Source organism: Homo sapiens, chromosome 15 (genome assembly GCF_000001405.40).
Source record: "Homo sapiens chromosome 15, GRCh38.p14 Primary Assembly".
NCBI classification, from domain to species: Eukaryota; Metazoa; Chordata; class Mammalia; order Primates; family Hominidae; genus Homo; species Homo sapiens.
The window spans coordinates 77,175,196-77,199,462 of NC_000015.10; the positions used below are offsets into that span (position 1 = coordinate 77,175,196).

The following is a 24,267-nucleotide window of genomic DNA, read 5'->3' on the forward strand; positions in this document are numbered from 1 at the left end:
GGACTTCATGTCTAAAACACCAAAAGCAATGGCAAGAAAAGCCAAAATTGACAAATGGGATCTAATTAAACTAAAGAGCTTCTGCACAGCAAAAGAAACTACCATCAGAGTGAATAGACAACCCACAAAATGGGAGAAAATTTTCACAACCTATTCATCTGACAAAGGGCTAATATCCAGAATCTACAATGAACTCAAACAAATTTACAAGAAAAAAACAAACAACCCCATCAAAAAGTGGGCAAAGGATATGAACAGACACTTCTCAAAAGAAGACATTTATGCAGCCAAAAGACACATGAAAAAATGCTCATCATCACTGGCCATCAGAGAAATGCAAATCAAAACCACAATGAGATACCATCTCACACCAGTTAGAATGGTGATCATTAAAAAGTCAGGAAACAACAGGTGCTGGAGAGGATGTGGAGAAACAGGAACACTTTTACACTGTTGGTGGGACTGTAAACTAGTTCAACCATTGTGGAAGTCAGTGTGGTGATTCCTCAGGCATCTAGAACTAGAAATACCATTTAACCCAGCCATCCCATTACTGGGTATATACCCAAAGGATTATAAATCATGCTGCTATAAAGACACATGCACACGTATGTTTATTGCGGCATTATTCACAATAGCAAAGACTTGGAACCAACCCAAATGTCCAACAACGATAGACTGGATTAAGAAAATGTGGCACATATACACCACAGAATACTATGCAGCCATAAAAAATGATGAGTTCATGTCCTTTGTAGGGACATGGATGAAATTGGAAATCATCATTCTCAGTAAACTATCGCAAGGACAAAAAACCAAACACTGCATGTTCTACTCATAGATGGGAATTGAACAATGAGAACACATGGACACAGGAAGGGGAACATCACACTCTGTGGACTGTTGTGGGGTGGGGGGAGAGGGGAGGGATAGCATTAGGAGATATACCTAATGCTAAATGACGAGTTAATGGGTGCAGCACACCAGCATGGCACATGTATACATATGTAACTAACCTGCACATTGTGCACATGTACCCTAAAACTTAAAGTATAATAATAAGAAGAAAAAAAAAAGAAAAGAAAAAAAAAAAGAAAAATGCTAACAAATAAAGTTTTACATTTTTCAAAAAAAAAAGAAAAGTTTAATATCTCAATCACTGCTTTACTCAGACTATAGCATGTATCTTTATAATGGTGGTGAGACCAGCAGTTCTAAGTGTGACCCAAGGACCAGCAGCATCAGTATCACCCAGGAACTTATTAGAAGTGCAAATTATCAGGACCCACCCCAGACCTACTGAATAAAAAACTCCAGGGGTGGGGATCAGCAATCTGTGTCTTAACAGCTCTCTAGATGATTCTGGAACATGGTTAAATTTAAGAACCAATGGGCAAATGAACTGTGCTATTTGGATTCATGGATGTTAACTTCAAAAAACGGATACATTTTGGAAGACCTGACTGGCCTATGTATAACCTAATTGTGAAAATAAAAGCTGTATAGTAAGAGGTCTGCCAAGCCCAGGGCCTGGGCTGCCCTCAAGCCTATATACCGTGGCATGCAGCCAAAGGAGAGAGTCTCTTTCCACAGAAAGAAGCCGAACATTTCTTGACTATGCCTTCTAAGATGTGGATAGATACACTACAGTGGTACTTAATCAGGAATGACACCATGTAAGAACTGTCTACCATTCCCTCCTATGTAACTCCAACCATTTGCTGTTTAAGCTGCCTCTTTTCTAAATAAATCAGGCACCTGAAATACATGTTTTTTTTTGAGATGGAGTTTCACTCTTTTTGCCCAGGCTGGAGTGCAATGGTGTGATCTTGGCTCAGTGCAACCTCCACCTCCCGGTTCAAGTGATTCTCTTGCCTGAGCCTCCCAAGTAGCTAGGATTACAGGCACCTGCCACCACACCCAGCTCATTTTGTATTTTTAGTAGACATGGGGTTTCACCATGTTGGCAAGGCTGGTCTCGAACTCCTGATCTCAGGTGATCTGCCCGCCTTGGCCTCCCAAAGTGCTGGGATTTCAGGTGTGAGCCACCACACCCGGCCCTGAAATACATGTATTTTATTACTACTGGAGTACATTCTGTCATTGAATACCTTACCATGGAATATAACATTCAACTACCAATGACAAGACTGTTCTTTCTAGGACTACCATCCTAGTTGCTTTGTTACTACATGGATTTAAGGAAAACAGAGACTTGTTAGCATTTTGACAACAATTTGGAGGTATGTAAAAAGCTCATTTTAGTAAAGAATGTGTATAAAACTTCCTAGCATTTTGCTAGGAAAAGTAAAAGCATTAAGTGTTCACTTCATTTTTTATTATACTTTTATAAAGAAAAACGGGTAAATCTGCCCCATCCATCAGAATTTGCTATGTTTGTAAGAAAGAAGGGCAGGCCCTTCTTTCTTTACTTCTTACTTTAAGTAAGGAGGGAGAAGGACTCAGAATCAGATGAATGGAGTACTCAGGGCATATCTTTAAGAATAAAAAGGACAGGAAGCATAGGGAAATCATCCTATTAGTCACAAACTTGGGATAAAAGTTCCTTGTTTTTACTGGCAGTTAATTCATTTTGTTTACAATATAAATAAGAAAGAAAAACTTAGGCTTCCTAAACATATGTATTTATGTGAATGATTACAAGTGAGAATATAACAATTTTTATTGATCTTGTGTTTAAGAATGCAAAATTATAAGGAGGATACATGCTTTAGAATGAGAGATCGAGGTTTGAATTCCAGCTCTGAAAAGCACTAGCTTTGTGACTCTGTTCAATTCTTAACTTCCCGGGTTTTCAGTTTCCTCATCTGAAGAATATAGCAAATTTATAAGGATTTGAGATAAATATTTATTATATACCTTGCACAGAATAGGTGATCAATAAATAGTTATTAAGGTATTCAAGAAAATGAATGCCTAGAGAACTGATTTGGGTATGCAATCTGTCTAGCTGAACTGAATATTATACTACTGGGTCTCAGTCTCAATACTCAACTTCTCCTATTTCACCCACATGCTAAATAACTATAAATTGCTTGCTTACCACCCTCCATTTTTTTCCACAACACTTGGAAGGAGGACAGAAAGAGACAGCAATAAAAAAACAAATATTCCCTTAAAATAAGTAATGCATATAGAGATAACACCTTCATAAAAAACAAAAAGAATTGCTGGAAGAGCTTTATTTCATTTACAGTGAGGGAAAGAACAGTACCACCATTTATTCATTTGATCCTGTTTCTTCCTCACACTACCATCACATTCCAAAACAACACATTATTTATTGCTATTAAGGTGTTATGGATTTGCTTTTCTATGCTAAAGTTCCTCTGCATTCACCAGAATGCAGTAGGCTACTTAAGCCAAAGATCCAGGGCTATAAACCTTGTTCAGTGCAGTAAGATCACTTTAATACTATTCTAATCTTGGAATGCAGTTATAAAGATAGATGATGGCCACAGAGTGCTACTTACAAACAGAAATGGTTCTTATGCAATCTTAAAAGATATAAAAAACTTAGCACCTGAAAATGTGTTAAAAAATTCCCATATTCTTCCAGTCTATTTTACATACCTGAGAATCTTTTTAGGAATCTGTGATGGAGAAGAATGACTCCTCTTCTTCTCTGAGTCCTGTAGTAATGCATTCTCTGCTCTACCCTTCTCCATGACTGCTGCCTGGTCTGTCCTAGCCTTGCTCTGATCCACACTGAGCTGGCCTTGAGCAGGGTCGCACCTGTACATGAAGACAATGGCTGGTTTCTCACTGGACTCTCCTTTCGCCTCTGTGAACCAGTGATGGCGCTGAACTGGAGGAGGAGGCAGCATGTGAATGACTGTGCCATCCAGGCCCACCAGTTTCCCTTTCTCTCGCTCTTTCTCTTTGTCATCCTCCTCATCTGTTTTCCGACGGCGGAAGAAGCTTTTAAATGATATCCAGCGCTTAGGTTTTGCATCAGCTGCCCGCCTGCTGCCTTCAGAGTGCAAAACTGATTCAGCTTCTGTTGACCTGGTAGGGCTGGTTGGCTTGGTCCAGTTGGTGAAATGCCTCTGCAAAAGGTTACCTGCATGGTAAGGAGAAGAAGTAGAGCGTGGCGGGGGAAAGGGAGCTGGTGGCTCACTTTGGGGGCTAGTCACTAATTTGGAGGGAGAGGGGGTGACTGGCTTTATGGATGGGTCTTTCTGTACTTTGGTGGTAGGACTGTCTGTGGTCTGAGGTGCTTCAGCCTCACCACTAGGCTGAGATGTAAAGAGAGATTTGGGCCGGACTGGCGTACTCTTAGGTGTGCTCTTAGCAACATCAGCATCTGGAGGAATGGCATAAAGCTCTTCCACACTGCAAGCTTTAGGGCCAGATTGAGGTGTTTCTGGAGGAGACTGTGGGGGTTGGATTGAAGCCACAATCTGAGAAAGCACTGTGCTTGCTTTCTCTCTGGTGCTGCTGCTGCCCACCATCTGAGACTCCTGAGTGCCTTCTATTTTGGCCACAGGCTCTTGAGTGGCTCTCTGGATCTTTGCTGGGGAGCTGTGGCTGGAACTATAGCTTCTCTGTGGTGAAGACTGACCTCTGTTGAGACAGTTGTTAAACTCTTGAACCTTCTGAGCCACTGAGCCCCTTTTATGCTCTGTGCTGTTTGAAAACCCTTTAGTTTGAAGACAGTCAGTGGTTTTGCTAGTGGTGTTATCAGGCACTTTGCTTTCTGTTTCTATTTCTTCATAAGTATGGCTTATTACACTTGTGGTTTTTTCCTTCACTGAGAGTTCTCCACTTGTTCCCAGAAAACTTTTGTAGATAGCTAGATTGTCATATGCATTTGGATTGATAACAATGGGAACTTTGATAGCATTTTTGGAACTCCGAGCATAAGTTGGCTCGTCATGAATGATAATTGGAAAAGGTGGCATACCAGCATTGTTATAACTATTAAATTTAATTTCAGACAAATTAGGTGACTTAACAGGGATGGTTTTGGAGGAAATGTTTGTAGCTGTGGGTGATGTAGGTGCTGATTTGTGACAGTTTTTCCTTGGAGGAACATTTGGTCCAGTTCCACTAGTAATTAGTTCTACTTTAGGTATCTTTTGTCGTGGACTGGTGCTAGAAGTCCATACTTCTTGGTATCGAATTGCACTGGATTTTTGGAAATGGGCACTTATTTGTCCTGGTGTCAATGAAGATGATGTAACTGGAGAGTTTGGAGTAGAGGATGAGCTTTTTGTCTTGGGGCTGTTAACAGGGCCCTCGAGGTGCTCACTGGCCATGGCTGCTGACACATCCACGACAGTATATGGCTTGCACAATGGCTGTTCCAGGTTCACAACTCGGTAAGGTTTTGCTTGCTCTTCTGTGGGGACAAGGTTTATGGTTACTGCTTGCCCAGCAACATCTGTAGAGGCTTTACTTTCTTCCTTCTCAGTTTGTACAGCAATCTTGCCATCTTTCTCTTCTAATCGGAGAGCAAGGACTGCTTTGTGGGTCTCTGGAACTTTTATTGAGCTTTTGGAAGCCTGTGATGAATCTTTATCCTGATTATTACTAGAGGGACTTTCATAATTGGGCTCAATTTCCTTCATGTCCTTAGAATCTCCTGGGTTACCAGGAGATAATCCCCCATTACAAATCTTCTGGGATAAACTACTGGCTGTCTCAGAACGTGATTCTTCTGTTAAAGAAGAATCTGGTGATGTGGAGTCAGATGACACCATGCTCTGAATGCTTCCTTGTCCATAAGAGACCACAGAATTTTCCTCATAACCATTCAGGATTTCATCATAGCTGTCATCATAGTCCACAGCACAGATTCTCTGCAGAGACTTGTTTCGCAGGGGGATGGTATTCCATTTTTTGTCCACAAAGAATCGAACAGGAGACAATGTGTTTGCTCTGAAGTTGGCAAAGCGAGGTTGCCCTCTCATGCGAATCTCCATGGCCAACAGCTCTTCATCACTCTCATCCCAACTCTCGTGCTCCTCCTCCATGTTACTGAAAAGTACATCCTCTTCACTCTCCTCGCCACTGGAAAACTCTGGGTAACAGAACCGGCCCCCTTCATTACTAATCACTTCTGTGCTCCCACTCAGAATAACATGCTTGCCCTGAGTTTCCTTTATCCCACCTATCATGCAACTTGGTGGAAGCTTTCTTTCCAATGATCGTTTATAGCAATCATTTATTCTTCCCAAGAATGTTTCTCTGGAGTTTGTTTCATTTCCTCTTATCTGAGGGGCAGTATCCAAGCCTGCTATCTCCTTTAACACTTCAGTTAGTCCATTATTGTTATCTGACATCTTCTTTGCACTATCATTATTGCCATAAGGCTTAGGAACATGGCTAATTCCTTCATCATCTTCATTATTATTGTTAAGTGGTTTCTGACTCAAGGCAGCTCTGTTTCGGTTCCACCCTATGATGACAGGTTTGTTCTCACAGTGTTCTTGGATGCTAAGCTCACCACATATACTTTGCCCATCTGCCACTATCATAGTGGGCTTCACAGCTATAGTGGGTTTTTTAGCCACAGGAGGCCGGAAATTGCCCGTGTTCCTGATGCGGTGGTTGTTACTGTGATTGGCATTAGTTTTCACATTGCCATGGGTGATGGGTGCCTTCTCAGGGTCTGGGGGAAGCTGGTGCAAACTTTTAGGTTTAAAGCAATTCTTGCATTCACCAGGTTTCCAAACATGTTCAGTAAAGGTGTTACAAGCAGACATTTTTAAAAATAGAACTTCACAGACAATGCTTTTCTTTCAGTGCATGACAAAACTTTCATCTGTTAGTTTTCACTTCCCCTATGTGTTACAGCAGCTCTTCTAAGAATGATCAATCTGTGGAGGGGAAAAGAAGACAAAAAATCTGAATGAAAAAGGCACTATGAGACTTACCATTATTAGTGACTTGAAAAAACTGACTCCATTCCTAAACTTTTCCTTAAATTAAAAGACTGAGAGCTAAACTAATTTGTGTACTTTGTAATTTCCCTTTAGCCAATCAGCATTTGGAAAGTGAGCTTTTTAACTATAATTTTATGCACTCTTATCTATCCATACATAATCTTCAGCTTGATGTCTCTGTTGCAATGATTCTGTGACCTTCCCTCCCAGAAATGCCTTTGATACCACTCCTTCTGTTATCCACCAATTTCTCTAACACTTCCCAGCCCATTATAGATTCCTCTTCTTCCACCTACCCTTGAATGTTTTAGACATTTCGTAGACTCCTCAAACTCAATGCATTGAAAATGAAGCTTCGGGGCTGGGTGCAGTGGCTCATGCCTGTAATCTCAGCATGTTGGGAGGCAGGCCAAGGTGGGAAGATCCCTTGAGCCCAGGAGTTCAAGACCAGCCTGGCTAACATGATAAAATCCCATCTCTAAAAAAAATATAAAAATTAGCTGGGTGTGGTAGCACACACCTATAGTTCCAGATACTCAGGAAGCTGAGGCAGGAGGATTGTTTGAGCCTGGGAGGTGGAGGTTGCAGTGAGCAGATTGTGCCACAGTACTTCAGCCTGGGTGACAGAGTGAGACCTTGTCTCAAAAAAAAAAAAAAAAAAAAGGCTGAAAAGGAGACCAGGGGCCAGATCATGCAAGGCCTTTTAGGCTTTTAAAGATTATAGAGTTTATCCTAAGAGCAGTGGGAAGCCACTGAAGGGTCTTGAATAGGGGAAACAACATAATCCAATTTGCATTTTAAAAAGACAGCTCTGACCAAAACCCATGAAATTCTTACGTATATAAGTCCAACAAAATATGTGTAAAATCTAGAATCTATATGAGCAAAACTATAAAACACTGATAGATGAAGGGGGGAAGAAGGGGGAAAGGTAAGCAAATTATAGCCCAGAGGCCAAATGTAGCTTATTCCTGTTTTTGTATCCCAAGGTTAAGGATGCTTTTTATGTTTTTAAATGGTTGGAAACAAATCAAAACGAGAATAATGTTCTGCAACAAGTGAAAATTATATGAAATTCTAAATTCAGTACCCACAAATAAAGCTCCATTGGAACGCCAGTCACACTCATTTGTTTACATACTCATTTGCCTATGGTGGCTTCTGTGCTACAATGGAGAGATGAGTAGCTATGAAATGTGTGACACACAGACTGTATGCTTCACTTTTACTGCTTTGTGGCACTCTACAAATTGCAGGATTTCCACTGGTGCATCTATCAGCTGTGTGAAATTACATTTTTCAAAGATAATACATAAAATTATAAAATAAAATTATGAAATACGTAAAATTTCATTACAGATATGAATTAATAGATGAACATTTGTAATCAATTTTGATGAGAGGAAGTACTAACTTTGAACCCCCATCAAGCACAATGTTATCCTCCCCAAAATGGAATTTCATTCTTCTCACTAGCAAACCTCTGTTATAAAATATTGTACCTAAATATATTTTGCCTTTTATCAAAAACATTTGCCAAAAAAAAAATGACAAGAGAATGAAGACAAACCCCAGAGTAGGAGAAATTATGTGAAACATTCATATCTGACAAAGGACTTTGTATTTGGAATATATAAAGAACTTTCAAAACTCAACAAAAAGAAAAACCCAATAAAAAACAGGTAAAAGATTTGAGCAGACACTTAACCAAATATATATGATTTTTGATCTTTTTTTTTGAGACAGGATCTCACTCTGTCACCCAGTCTGGTGTGTAGTGGTATGATCACAGCTCACTGCAGCCTCAACCTCCCTGGCTCAATCAAGCCTCTCACCTCAGCCTCTGGAGTAGCTGGGACTATGGGCACATGCCACTATGCCTGGCTAATTTTTCTATTTTTTTTATAGAGATGGGGTTTCTCCATGTTGTCCAGGGTGGTCTCAAACTCTTGGGCTCAAGGGACCCAGCTGCCTCGGCCTCCCCAAAATGTTGAGATTACAGGCATGAGACACTGTGCCCAGCCAAAGATACATGGATTGCATTTAAACAATATAAAAATTGTAAATATAATTTACAATATTTATAATATTGTAGTAAATAAAATTTATAATATTGTAAATATAATTAGCCACATGGAAGTGCAAATTAAAACTACAATGTGCTACCACTACACATTTATTAGAATGGTTAAAATAAAATTAAAACAAAAACAACTGATGCTAGCGAGGATGTGAAGCAATTGAAACTCATATATTGCTGGTGGGAATGTAAATGGTTCAGGTATTCTGAAAAACAGTTTTGCAGTTTCTTATAGAGTTAATCATAAACTTACCTTGGAGCCCAGCAATCCCACTCCTAGGTATTTACCCAAGATAAATAAAAACTTTTGTTTACACTAAAACCAATACACAAAGGTTTACAGCCAAAAGCTGGAAACAATCTAAATGTTAGGTGGCAGTGGTTACATAACTGCATACATTTGTCAAAACTCACAGAACCGGCAGGTAGGCTGGGCGCGGTAGCTCATGCCTGTAATCCCAGCACTGTGGGAGGCTGAGGCGGGTGGATCACTTGAGGCCAGGAGTTTGAGACTAGCCTGGCCAACATGGTGAAATCCTGTCTCTACCAAAAATACAAAAATTAGCCAGGCATGGTGGTGTATGCCCGTAATCTTAGCTACTCAGGAGGCTGAGGCATGAGAATTGCTTGAACCTGGGTGGCGGAGGTTGCAGTGAGCCGAGGTTGCATTGTGCCACTGCACCACAGTCTAAGACAAACAAACAACTCATAGAACTACGCACTTAAAAAAAGTGAATTTTACTACATGTAAATTTACCTTCAATAAACCTGACTTTAAAAAGACAGCTCTGCTGCTATGTAGAAAATGGACTCGGGAAGAACAGGACAGGAGGCTTAAAAGACTGACATAGGCAAACTAAGATCTGATGAGGATCTGGATTAGGATGTGGTGTCAGGGAAGGCAGAGAAAGATGCAGGAATGACTGGATTTTGAAGAGTAAAAAGTATTGAGGTTTTAGGTTTATGTATTCAAATGATTATGGAGCCATTTACTGAGATGACAACATTGGAGGAGGTGCAACTTTTGAAGGGAAGACTATGAGTCCATATTTTGTCACCCTGCATACAAGACAGTATATGAATTTAGGAGTCTGAAACATGGATGAGAATTCTGTGGTTCTCCTCTGCTTAGGAATTACTAGTATAGAGATATTTAGGCCGAAAAGAAAATAGTGAGCTGAGGAGGTGGCCTTGGTGGGTGAACCAGGGAGAAGGGGCTACTTCCTCTCCCCTAACTGAAAACTAACAGCCAAGGTGTGATGACACAGAAGCCAGATGAGGAAATGTCATGAAGGAGAAAGACAATAACTATTTCAAATGCTGCTGAGAGGTAACGGAAAATGAGGACTTACATACATGCCCATTGGACTTGGCAACATGAGCTCATCTGTGACCTTAGCATGAACTATTTGGTTCAGTGGTGGGGATGGAAACCAGACTGCAGTGAGTTGAAGAGTGAGATAATAGAGCAATGGTAGATAACTTTTGGAGAAGAGTAGGCAGGAAGGAGAAGCAAGAAGGAGCTAGGAGGATGGGGGTCCAGAAAGGATTTCCTTATTTTAAGATGGGAAAACCTAGATAATGTTGAATGGTAATATTGGGGAAAGATACAGGCCAGGGTGAGAGGCTGAAAAAACAGGAAAGAGGAAAGAATCACAATACTTAGAATGTTAAAACTGTGCAGGTTTCTAATTCAACTGTGTTTTATGGACAAAGGAATCGAAGCCTAGAAGAGACAGTGACTTTCCTAAGGACACACAGTAAATAAGAAAGACCCAGAACTGGGACTCAAGGCTACAACTACCTACAATATGTTTTGTTTTTACCTTTTTTGGTAGATGTTTTTTTCTTTTGTTGTATATGCTCACTGTGGAAACTCAGAAAAGCATAAAGAAAATAGAAACCATATGTAAACTTATTATTCAGAAGTAACTTTTATTAACAGTTTGGGGGCAGTTCCTGTCAGTCACCAAGAATTTAAATTAAAAAATTCCCTGTGTACTTAGCACTATGCAGCACTGAATACAAAAAAGAATAAGGCATCTTGGCATAATATCTTGTTAACCAAGTTAAACAGACTCTGATAAGAGTGGGATTAAGTTTTCTCTTTGTAAGTAGTACAATATATTTGCTTTTTCAAAGACTAGTAGATAATAGTAAAAATAATTCCCCACTTTGAGTAAAAGTAAGTTAATTCAGTCAAAAGATGGCTAAGCTGATTAACAGCTATCACTTATCAACAGAATAGCCAAATGAGACTCACCAGGAACACCATTTGCTTATGTCAGTGTTGTGTGCACTAGGAACCCATGTTGCATATGACATTCGTTTACAAGTTTGTGTCCATCTGTATTCATCTGGTTTAAAACCGAGACACTTATACATATGTAACAAACCTGCACATTGTGCACATGTACCCTAAAACTTAAAGTATAATAATAAAAAACAAAAAACAAAAAAACCGAGACATGAACCAGGCAAACACCTTTAGCAAGCACCAGATGGAGCTGCTGTCTAAGCCACAAAACCTTAACCACGAGGGCTTCATTTTAAACACTAATTATATTTGGAGACAAAGAGGTGCACTTAAAGACACTGTCAAAACTATTTTAACCTACAACAGTCTCATAGAGGGGGAATCTGTACCAGATGCAGGTCTGTCCAAAGAGCAATCCTTGGGTTTTACAGCCTTTGTGAAATGACTTCAGTGGCAATCAATAACTAGCAGCTTTCCCTGCTCAACACCAACGCTCCCCAAATGGGAAACTCCAGTCTCCAAAGTTATGCTTGAGAAATAAGAAATGTGTCTCCTGAGGCACTTACACAAGGAAATAAAACAGTCTATCCTGGTGTCTTCTATTTATTTGCCAGAACAGGTCTGATACAGAGCACCCAAATGGAATGTTTGATAAGAAAAGCTCATTTACCTCCACATTCCTTATAATCTCAAAGCAAATCTTCTAGATGAAATAGTCTATGGGAGAGTTTAATGGCTGAAGCTGCCCCTAGGAGGTAGCCAGGATTCCATGATCTAAAATCCTATTTCATATTTGACAGTTTTCAGGACCAAAGCCCTTCAGGCTATAGATTAAGCTATTCAAGAGTGGCCTATTTCACTTCAAGTCATGACAGCTTTTTAAGAACCTATTACTGTTTTTTATTCTCTCTACTGCCATACAATGACAATAATTAGTTTGCTTCTAGTCCAACAGTTTCAGGCAGATTTGATACCAAAAAAAAACCCCACAAAAATACAAAAAAACAACAAACAAATCCACAATGGATTTCAATCTTGAAATAAACTGGCCAGCAGAAAGAGCTGGAGCTCCTCAAGCTGGATTCAATTTCCATTAGTGAAGAAAAGGAAAGTGTGTAGGTGGGAGATTAAACACCATATATACAGCATTTCCTAAAGGCACCCAAGGAGAATCTGTTAATAATAAAGGAGGATGGAGAATGAACTGCTAAGCTCCTCCAATTCTGTGACTCCCGAAGCCCACCATCTCTCTCCATAAAATCTGTCACATTGCCATGGAGGCAGAGTCAAGAATCCTCACTGCTGTACGTGGGCTTTTAAGGACACTCTCAGTGAGGATCTATTGCCTATATGTCATCCCACATATTAGTCCATCTCCAGGATGCTAGGGAACAATTTACAAGTCAAGGTTCTCACTAGGCTTTTGTTAAAGAACATGTGGGTCACTTAAAAAAAAGGAAAGGAAAATGTGACAACCATACCCACGTCACTGTTCCCAACCTTTCCTTCTTCCACAGTGAAAAATGCTGACCTGACACCTCAACCAGCTGCCAAACTCTTCAGTATATGACTAAAAGGGTGGGGAGAGGAAGTGAAAGCAAAGCTGCAGGAAGAAGTTTTGCAGAAGATAAAACACAGCTTAAATTTGGTACACAAATGGAAATTCCATGAGTAAAAGGGACTTTCTTGAGATCTGACTGAAAAAAAAAATTATCATTCCTTGCTATCACAAGAACATGAGGTTCTCCTATCTAAAGAAGAAACCAAAGTAAAATCTGCTTAATTTTGGAAACTTAATGAAATCTCCAGAAGCCCATCCAGTTCCAATTGTTCTAACCACAACAGTTTTTCTAACAGTTCACTGCTCCTGTCACATGGTAGTCATCTCAGGATAAGAATCATGTAACAACAAATGCACCCCTGCAAAGCAGCACCGCTCAGTTCCAACTAATTTTTAAATTCAAACTCTTTGACGAATCAGTTAACTACTACTAATAATAATTATTATAAACTTGGTAATAACTAGTTATAAGATTAGAAGTTCCAAAATGTTCCCTGAAACCACTTTAGACCCCTATTTAAGAAGGTATACATCAGAGAAGAAGTTAAAGTATTATCTAATAACAGCCAAGACTCCATAGTCTTTTATAGTTTTATTTTATTCACAAGCTTTTTCTTCTGCTTGGAATGTATTTCCTCTAATGCTGTTCCATTTGTTGAAACCCTATTTATCCTTCAAGATGCAGTTTAAATTTTACCTCTGTGATGAAGTTTTGCCTAACTCGATTATACCACATTGTTTTGTAATTATGTAAGTCCCCAGAAGGCAGGTCTAAGTGTTTTTCCTCTCTATATCTCTTGAATTGTTTGGAATACATTGGATACTAAATAAATGTTTTCACTCAAGAATAATTCTAGTTAGCATTTACTACTAAGTACCAGGCCCTTTACCCATAAAAACTCATAATTCGGCCAGGTGCGGTGGCTCAAGCCTGTAATCCCAACACTACATTTTGGGAGGCCAAGGCGGGCAGATCACCTGAAGTCAGGAGTTTGAGACCAGCCTGGCCAACATGGTGAAACTCTGTCCATACTAAAAATACAAAAATTAGCCAGGCGTGGTGGTGCGCGCCTGTAGTCCCAGCTACTCAGAAAGCTGAGGCAGGAGAATCACTTGAACCTGGGAGGGGGAGGTTGCAGTGAGCCGAGATCGCGCCACTGCACTCCAGCCTAGGCAACAGAGCGAGACTCTATCTCAAAAAAACAAAACAAAACAAACACCTCATAATTCTCACAAAACTCTATGATAGACATACTATTATTTGCCCTACTTTACTGATGAAGAAACTGAAACTTGCCCAAGGTCACATAGCTAGTAAATGGCAGAGCCAGGATGAATGCATGCATGCACGTATGCATGCATAAATGGTATAGCTTCATGGCATCTGGAGGCTGCTTTAAACATAAACATGGCAGTGTCTGAAAGACAGTCCACACAGCAGCAGCAGCAGCAGCAGCACTGTCCACCATAGTGGAATTCCACCATGAATGAAGAAGTGTAAGAAATAGGCACACCCACACCTTCCCCTCCTCAGCTCTAAGATGATCAGTCCAGGTGCTCACTGCAGAATAAGCCAGAAGGAAACAAACAGGCATAAACTTAGCTAGTAGGCTGTCTCAAAGTTGTGTTTTTTGTGTTTCAGAGTGTTGAGGAAGTAATATTACGAGGCAAATTAAGCATGATCTTTCATCCAGCTCTCCAAGTCAGGAACCACTCTGATTTGGAGGGGCCACTGAAGTGGCTGGTTGAGAGTGAGTTGGTGAGATGTTGCTATCAGTCACCTTGCTCTGTTCCTCTTCTCCATTGCCCTCAACCTCAGAGCCAACTGCCAAGTGAAGAAAGCTGGACTGCAGGCTAAATTAGGGAGTCACAGCTGATTGAGATGTGAGAAGACAGGGAATAAGAAAGAGACTAAATAAGGGCAGAGCAAAATTCAAATAAGAGAAGGTGGGAAAAAGGAAATTGGGAAGGAAGGAGAAATAAGAAAATAGTTAATGATTCTAAGAAAAATCCTGCTTGAATGTTTATAGCCACATAATCAGAGTGAGCAATGTCATTTTCTACCACTCTTCACTCATTTTTGGAGGCTTTATTGTCTTGTGTTACTTTATGTTTGGCAGGAGGCATTATTTTTCCAATTAAAAGAAATTTTACCTTTCCCAGCTATAGAAAAGAGTGAACAATACATACTGTAAAACATTTATAATTTAGACTTTTAAAGGGAAAAAGTACTTCTAAATTAATGAAAGTCTGAATTACACAATACTTTGAAGAAGTATAGATTTATTGCTTTTGAGGAAATACCATAATAAACTAGTCTTTCCTAGTGCAGATATTTGGACCTGTTCTAATAAATAAGTTGGAATTATTTTCTTAATGGTTGTAAATACATAACTTAAAATGCAGTCAAAGAATACTTCTCACACTGGAATCTGGGATGTGTTTTCAAGGGTCTATGAGTTCTCCAAAAGAGCTGAATATTAAACTGAAAGTAAAGTTTACATCTAAAATAAACTAATGTAAACACAGGCAGGATCATTGCAATGGCCATATTAACTAAGCACAGCAATATAATTTCCAGGACTACAAATACCTTTCTGTTTCTAATATGAGCTGACACCAAGCACACTACTTTAACTGTAAGAAATAATGAGAAAAGAAAGGCTCACTTAATATGTAGATGATACAGTTCTACCAAGTAAAGACCAAAATGACATCATGGTGCAACCACTGTGTATTGTACCAATCTTGAATTTTCAATACCGTAGAAAGAAATGTGGCATAAGAAGACAGCCAATGGTAATGAAAACTGCAAAGAAAACTAGGGTGGCTGGCAGCTCCTTACCCACACAGTAAGCAGCAATTTAGTTTCAGCAAAACTTCATCTATTATATTAAATTGCTGTTAATTTGCATTTCATTAGTTTTGCAGGGTTTTTTTGTACTTAACTTTCAAATTTGTTTTATAGCTAAATGACAACTATAAGCATAAAGAATTTATACCTAACTTTATGTTTTTTGTATTTAAGTAAAATTATAATAATGTACGTCAACACTGACAGAGCACAGTTATTTTTTTCAGTTAAAAGGAGGTCTATAAATTACCAAAGTTTGAAAAGTAGTGCTTAAAAACAATAATCTCTTATGTCAGGTAAGCATTCCTCTTGTGATCTTATTCACATTACTAATTTGCTAAGAATCTGTTAAAGGAGTATAATAACTACCGTCAAACAAAGCTCTTATGAAAATGAATTAAGATAAAATATATAAAATGCCTAACTCGAAGGCTGATTCATAGTAAGCACTTAATAAATATTAGTTATTTTCTCCTTTTATTAAATTTCTACATCCAGCGGAGGCCAGGAAGGGGTATGATCCCTCTAATCTCCTCCACACATATCCACACCCCATCTTGACATACCAATTGGGCACTTGGGAAGCTATTTCAATGGGAACACTGTTAACTATGCTTAGGTTAGACTTCAGTTATCATGGATGATTTAATTGAAAGTTTTAGCTGCCTTGTAAACCTGTTTAAGACTTATTGCTTCTACAGGGAAAACATACTCCAAGTTCTGAGCAAGTGACTTGCAAGGAAACTTTAGCATTCCATCTTGGACTTGTGTTTTGCATCAATTTCAAGAGATGCTGTCAGATTCTATCAGGAAGGAGTTGCTGAGCAATAAGGTAATGTGATACTATTGTGCTTTAAGAATTCAGGTGGAAATGGAAAGAATATATTGACAGGAGGCAAGGTGAAAGGTAATGTAGTTGTTTCAACTAGTATAATACTAGTCCAGAGAAGGCCCCAAACTAATATAGTGGCAGTGGGAATTAACAAGCAGGGGCTGATGTGAGAGGCTAAATTGATAATTTTTATCAACCAGTGGGATAATAAGAGTGACTAAAGATGACCCTGTGGTCTGTATAGATCAAAACCCAGGATCAGTTTCCCAGAGATATACTGAAATGTGGACAATCAAGCTAGCACCAACTGCACTACTTTAACTGTAGAAAATCATGAGACAGATGATGTCCGAATGGAAATAACAAACACATTCTAAAACAAAATGTGTGATTTAAAATTCTTCCCATTGAGAAATATCCAGATCTTTAATTACTATTTACTTATGTAAACTTGACTCTAAACCTTGACTGCAAGTGGTTTAGTGAGAGCAGTAAAGAAGATGCAGGATGCTGAGGTGGATGAGAGAGAAAATGAAAAAGGCAAAGTGACAATTCTTTAGTTAGTTTTATTTTATTACAGAATAAAGTTAGAAAAATGAGACTTGGGTTTAGTAACTGAAGTGATGAGGCCAGTGATGGACCATGAAGGATGGGAACTGTGGCCAGGGCATTCGAGAACTCCAGATGTGCATGAGCACATGACAATAGGTTTCCACAGGACTGTTCTCAAGAAAACAGCAGAAGCTCAGACTCTGGGGAGTTACTGGATATTAATATACAAGGAGACCGCAGTCTGACAGAGGAAAAACTAAACTATCCCCCAATAAAAATATGCTGGGTCTTAATTCTCCTCATCAGTGAGATATCTACCTGTGGTTTGTATCACTGGACTACTAAAGTGAGCCCAAACACCTCCCAGTGGAAAGTGAGAGGTGGAATGCCAGCCATTCTTGAAGAGGTGCTGGGCCCCTGGCCCTTGTGGGTGCCAGAGCACTAGGAGTATTTCCATTCCTATCGTAACCACTCACCAATTAGGAGAACCCTCAGAGGCACAAATCAACAACACTCAAGGCCATTGCTAATAAGATTTGTAAAAACAGACAACTTATCAAACTCTCTAGGCCGAACGGTCCTTACCTTTTTTTTTAAATGAAAAAAAAATTCTTTATATTATACAAGTAATCAGAAAATAAAAATATGCAAAAAGCAATGAAGAAACCCCCAAATCTGACTACATACTCTTCTGTGTCTTTTTTCTGTACACAGATCAAGGTGTATACGCACAGACACACAGACATATTTCACAGAATGAACATGCTGTTTGGTAACAAGAGTACCTTTAAAGTCTTTCCCCAAATTTACAATCTATTCAAAACATTATATACATGCAAATTTGGGTTAAAATACCATTTTGAATTATTCAAACAAATTTAACAAGAGACAAATGAAGTTGGAGTCAGAGATCTTTAATAACCTGAAACAAAAATAATTCTCACATATAAGAAACACCTCTTCTCTATGGATATAGTTATCTGGCAAGATTACCTATTCAGGATACAGCTGAAAACTAGACAAAGTAGGAAAGCACCTTTTATAGTTTCATTTATAGACTCATTTTACACACAAATTTAATTTGATCAGCTTAAATTAGTTTTATTGATCTTGTTTGTACAGAAATAAAGGTGAATGCTCTACTTATAATTTAATGAATTATAGCTGTCTCTCTCAGGCTGCCTTATTTGTATATCCCCTATCCACTTTACTATGAACCAAATGAGACTCTAATGTTAATTTGAGTGGAGATACGTGTCCACCGCTCTTTTAAAAAAGGTACCCAAATGTCCTTTCCGCAATTACCCTTTTAAAAAGACTGTCAACCAGGTGTGGTGGCTCACTTGAGGTCAGGAGTTCGAGACCAGCCTGGCCAACATGGCGAAACCCCGTCTCTACTAAAAATACAAAAATTAGCTGTGCACAGTGGTGCGCGCTTGTAATCCCAGCTACTTGGGAAGCTGAGGTGGGAGAATTGCTCGAACCTGGAAGGCAGAGGTTGCACTGAGCAGAGATTGCACCACTGCACTCCAGCCTGGGTGACAGAGTGAGACTCTATCTTAACTAAACTAAACTAAACTAAACTAAACTAAACTAAACTAAACTAAACTAAACTAATCTAACTCTCTAGCCATCTCTTCTGTGATCTTGTCTATTCCCAAATATTTAAGGGTGGAACAACTTTCCAGAGTTTGCCATATAACATATACTTTATAATCTATATTCCAGAATTATACCTCTTGCTCCTGTCGTCTGAAGCTCCAGACTTCGGCTGCCTACTAGACCTTTCCAAACACAACTAATTACATCTTTCCTCCAAAACACAGTATGCTCAACCTTTTTCTAGGTACCATAACAGTAAATGGTATCAAAACATTGGCAGACATTCAGACTGGGTCAACTTTTGACTCCTCCTGGTCCTTCTCATGCTATATCCAATCAATTGTCAGGTTTTATCTTTCCTAATCTGTCCTCTCCCTTTGACCCATCTAGCTATAACTTGAGTCCTGGATTTTCATTGCTCTTTGTCTGAAATACTGAGATAGTATATTTTGTGTCCCAGTTCCTCTAAAATACAGCTCCTTAACTACTTTAACTCTTCATAAAGCCATTAATTGTTCTCAGTTGCATATATAATACATTTAAACTCCTTAGAATAAAATTTAATGCTCTTTGTGATCTGCTACTGACTTACCATTTTTAAAGCAGCCATTATCTCCTCCATGTCCACTCATATAGCAATTGTTCAAAATCCTATAGATCTTTTGATCCTCCAGTCAAATTTTAATTCCCCTGTGAAGTCTCACATCCTCCTCTTAGAATTAACTGCTCCCTTCCCCAGATTCCCATCATATGGCTTTTGCATACCTTACTCCACCCCCCGACCCCCACTAGTCTTAGCTCCTTGAGTGCAGGAGATATATCTTATTCAGTCTTGGCACTGTATGTTTCTTGAACAGATGAATAAATGATGCTCTGCTATCTGGTTTCATAGACCAAAATAACTTAGAAGGAGACAGCAGCATTCAGACAGAAGTGGCAAGTGACAAGTGACTACCTGACAGCAAAGGGGGAGAAAGAAAAATACAAGAACCAAACTTAAGAACTGAAAAAGCTTTTCCATGTGGGCAAATAGCCCTATATCCCTTAAGGGCATCACTATATTTTAGAATAGCACTGTAATTGATGTTGACACCAATTACAGCAAGATAGCAAGAAAATAGTAAATTATGTTCGGGGTTCTGTGTTTAAGAAGGGAAGCAAACAACTAAAATGTGAAATGTATTTTGGAAAGATTTTTAAACAACTTATTTTATTTACTATAAGTTTATTTAATTATAAAATAATTACTCTTTATAGAAAACTATAAAAATAAAGACAGAGAAAAAAAGCACCCTAAATCTTAGTATGCATTTTAAAAACAATTTAGGTCACATAAGCACCAAATGACTATTCAAACTGAAAATATTTTAATGCTTAAAGAGCTCAAACCCACAGTTATCCAGAAACTTTGGCCAACTAGAATTCATTCTTTCAAAGGAACATAGAGAACTAAAATTTTACTGTATCATTAAAGTTATTAACCCAACTCTCCTGTCTTAACTAGTGACTGGAAAACGATGAGGTGGGGAGGAGATGAGGAAGTGGGGAACAATAACAAAAGATAAAAAATAGAAGGTGAGAGAAAAAGAAATGAACCCAAAATAAATAAAAGGTAGGAGGACAATCAAGACAAGTGAGAGGAAGAATAGAAAAACAGAGAGAAAGCATAATATCTGAGCAGACACATTCAGAAAAAGGACAGCTCTTCTTTCATTTTCCCCTCTCTTGACTTCTTTTGTTCTAATTGACTTCAGGCTGATGTGTGTAACCTTAGATGCATGCTGAATTCCAATGAAGTCCTCCTACATGTATACTTTATACCAAAACCATTCAGTTAAAAGGATTTTAATTGGTGTGCACCATTCCCTGCAATTTCAACATTTTAAAAATGAATAGTCTCACTAAGTACCAGATGGTGACATGTACTAATTAATCAGGCCTATTCAATGAATGAGCATATTAAAATGAATGCACCTATTAGACATGTGTTGCCGACGCTCCATCCTGAGGAAGCCTCCCCTCAAATGAGTGCCCACGGAAGGTGCAGATTTACTGTGCAATACTCACAAGTGTCTTCTGCAATTATTTGCAGTAGCAATGCCATCACTCTTGTGTCTCCCTCCAGATCACTCAATATTTCATGCTAAGCAGCTGGTGAGCCTTGCTATCCCTGTATAATCTGTTTAACCTTCGTAAGCAAGAGCCAGCTAAATATTGGGTCTATAGTGTTTCTACTAAAGAGAAGATCTTACAGACTCATCAAGGTCATTTGTTAAATGGACAATGGGTGAAGGACAGATCAAATGAGGCTCTTGATCCAACTCCCTTCCTCCTCAATTTGTCTGTCAGCCGGTGAAAGCCTGAGCACTGCTAGCTGAAGGAATAAAATAGTGCAAATGGCAATCCTGCACGACAGGTTGCCATGCTCTGATTTTCCTCAAATGTTGTTAGCATTGGAGAGAAAGGTATATAATAACCTACTGGTAGGTCTCGGAATCCTACTAGGTACTCTTTTTTGAATGTGACAGAAATCTTAGAAGTCATTAGTTTTCTTAGCTCCTCATACTCATCACTCTTCTATTTTATACTATCTTGGATCAACATAATTTCAAATGTATTCTAATAGTAGGAAATTCCCCAAATCTCTCTAAATTTACTGAGAAACACTGGTTTCTTATTTGTTGAAGGCACTGAAAACTGAGCAGCTGATTAGGTAGGGAGACAGCAAGGCATACATAAAACATGGGCTTTGGAGAAAAAAGGGTGTTGTGACACATGCATGTTAACTGGTATACAGCAAGCACTAACAAATGTTAGTGTTTTCCCCCAGATAATAGCAAATGGTAGGAAAAATAATCAACTTGGAAGGAAACATCACTGAATAACAGCCTAAATATGATTACTTTCAGAGAAACTGAGAGGTTATAATAGAAAATGTGATTTTTTGGTATACTTTAAAAATTAAAAACAATATACTTTAACCTTCTAAGACAGCTTAATTAATTAATTAATTAACTAATTTACAGACAGGGTCTCACTCTGTCACTCAGGCTGGAGTGCAATGGTGCGATCATGGCTCACTGCAGCCTCGACCTCCCCAGGGTCAGGTGATCCTCTCACCTCAGCCTCCTGAGTAGCTGGGACTACAGGTGTCTGCCACTATGCCTGGCTAATTTTTTTTTTTTTTTTTAAGATACAGGGTTTTGTCACATTTCCCAGGCTGGTCTCAAACTCCTGGGCTCAAGTGATCCACCTGCCTTGGCCTCCCATAGTGCCGGGATTACAGGCATGAGCCACCACACCCAGACTAAAACAGCTTGGAAGACAGAATTTTGAGACATTTGTGCTTGTTTCTGATACATGGCAATAGATATTGCTTAAAATGAGAATATCACCCAAAAGAATGCTTAGGGAAGGATAGCCAATGACAGAAACAACAAAATTTGTAGTTACCAGAAAAGCCTCCTTCATGACAAAGGCCATTTTATTACTTTCCTTGGGATCTTGCCTAAAAACAAGAGGTGAAATTTATATATTATCCAAACAGAATTTAATTAATTTGGACATAATTGAAAGTCCAAAATAGCAAGAACATATTCATCAAGAGGTTTCTATGCAATGATTAAATAATCTTTTGAAAGTTTCTGTTACTTTGGTCTAATAATTTTTGATAGATTTCTGTTATTTTTAAATTTTTGGTTCTACCTTTACCTTTTTTCTACCTTAATAATATTTTGATACAGCATCTAGCAGAGAAGTAGGTTTTTATAAGAGTCTTGTGTTCTGAGATAAGACAAAACCCAGGAAAACAAGACATCAAAACCAAGTGTAATTCCTAGCCCAAACATTTAAAAGAAACCATGTTAGGGAACTAAGAACTCTGACTAACTGAAAGGAAAGCAATGATTTATAATAATCTAAGTAGACCACGACAATTTTCAGACTACAGTTGACCCTTGAACAACATGGGTTTGAACTGCGCAGTTCAACTTACATATGGATTTTTTCAATAAATATATTGGAAAATTTTATGGTGATTTGTGACAATTTGATAAAACTCGCAGACAAACCATGTAACCTAGAAATATTAAAAAAATTATGAAAAAGATAGGTATGTCATGAATACATAAAATATATGGATAGTATATTTTATCATTTACTATCATAGAGTATATACAAATCTATTATAAAAAGTTAAAATTTATCAAAACTTAAATGAGAGAAATGTAAACAAATGTAAAGATGTAGTATTAAATAACTGCATAAGTATATGAATAACCACATATTATAATACATACTATACTACTGTAATAATTTTGTAGCCACCTTCTGTTGCTACTGAGGTACACTCAAGTATTCTATCTGCTTAAAAGGCCATGCGATGCTAATCATCTCCACATGAACAGTTCATCTCTCCAATAAATTGTGTATTATAGTAAAAAGTGATTTCTTGAGGTTCTTGTGTATTTATCATATCATGTTTATTTTTAGTGCAATGCTGTAAACCTTAAATAACACATAGGACCCATATGAAATGCCACCAGTGATGCTGGAGGTGCTCCCAAGAAGCAGAGAAAAGTTATGACACTTTAAGAAAAAGCTGAATTGCTTGTTATGTACTGTAGTTTGAGGTCTGTAGCTTTAACTGCCCACCATTGCAAGATAAATGAATCTAGCCTAAGGACCAGTATAAAAAACAGAAAATGAAGTTCATGAGCCATCAATGCAGCAAGGCTAGCAGGCATGAAAATCTTGCATTTTTTGAGAAATACCTTTTTGTATCATATTGAAAACAGCATTTGTATGGGTGCAGGATTGCTATAAGAAAGGTATACTTAGAGACTGTAATATTATTCAAGAAAAAGTGAGGTCATTATATGACAACTTAAAGCAAAGGGAAAGTGAAGGAGCTAGAGAATTTAATGTCAGCAAAGGATGGTTTGATAATTCTAGAAAAAGATTTGGCTTAAAAAATGTCAAGATAACAGGAGAAGCAGCTTCTGCCAACCAAGAGGCAGCAGATAAATTCCTAGATGCTATTAAGAAAATCATTGAGGAAGGATATCTGCCTGAGCAGGCTTTTAGTGCAAATGAAGTGCCCTATTTTGTGGGGGGAAAAAGCCACCAAGGACATTTATTTCATCTATTTGTATGGAAGAGAAGTAAGCACCAGGATTTAAGGCAGGAAGGGATAGGCTAACTCGACTGTTTTGCACAAATGTGGTCAGATTTATGATTGGGACTATCCCTATCTATAAAGCTAGTAATCCCCAAGTCTTGAAGAGAAATGATAAGCCCCAGCTGCCACTCTTGTTTATACAGCAAGAAGGTCTGAATGAGAACCCTTTTTCCAGATTGGTTCCATCAATGCTTTGTTCCTGAAGTCAGAAAGTACTTTGCCAGTAAGAGACTGCCTTTTAAAGTTCATTTGGTATTAGGCAATGTCCCTGGCCACCCAGAATACCATGAGTTCAACACTGTAGATATCGAAGTGGTCTACTTGCCATCAAACACAATGTCTCTAATTCAGCCTCTAGATCGGGGGCCATAGGACCTTTAAGGCTTATACAAAGTTCCATGTGGAAAGGACTGCCAACATTGTGAAAGAGAGCTCTGAT

General features: G+C 38.6%; 1 protein-coding gene across 35 annotated transcripts in view, besides 3 other annotated features; it reads right to left on the minus strand.

Annotated features, from left to right (window-relative positions):
• PEAK1 (pseudopodium enriched atypical kinase 1) overlaps positions 1-24,267 on the minus strand; it is a 320,261-nt gene that overhangs the window by 74,542 nt on the left and 221,452 nt on the right. For 27 of the 35 annotated variants that reach the window (XM_047433077.1, XM_047433076.1, XM_047433057.1 and 24 more), the window contains one exon: positions 3,595-6,845. In XM_047433077.1, coding sequence (XP_047289033.1) covers positions 3,595-6,731 — 3,137 coding nt within the window. In that variant the 5' untranslated portion in view covers positions 6,732-6,845. Of the gene's footprint in view, positions 1-2,658; positions 2,829-3,594; positions 6,846-7,207; positions 7,575-22,102; positions 22,158-24,267 lie in introns of those variants that run through there. The other 8 variants (NM_001387086.1, XM_011522038.3, XM_011522039.3 and 5 more) reach the window with 3 other exon arrangements.
• Positions 4,660-4,799: an enhancer, noted in NCBI's record as "active region_9891". NCBI's record gives its function as "activates an Ori minimal core promoter by ATAC-STARR-seq in GM12878 lymphoblastoid cells {active_cell/tissue: GM12878}" and the evidence as "EXISTENCE:reporter gene assay evidence [ECO:0000049][PMID:35858748]".
• Positions 6,641-6,730: an enhancer, noted in NCBI's record as "active region_9892". NCBI's record gives its function as "activates an Ori minimal core promoter by ATAC-STARR-seq in GM12878 lymphoblastoid cells {active_cell/tissue: GM12878}" and the evidence as "EXISTENCE:reporter gene assay evidence [ECO:0000049][PMID:35858748]".
• Positions 12,550-12,769: an enhancer, noted in NCBI's record as "active region_9893". NCBI's record gives its function as "activates an Ori minimal core promoter by ATAC-STARR-seq in GM12878 lymphoblastoid cells {active_cell/tissue: GM12878}" and the evidence as "EXISTENCE:reporter gene assay evidence [ECO:0000049][PMID:35858748]".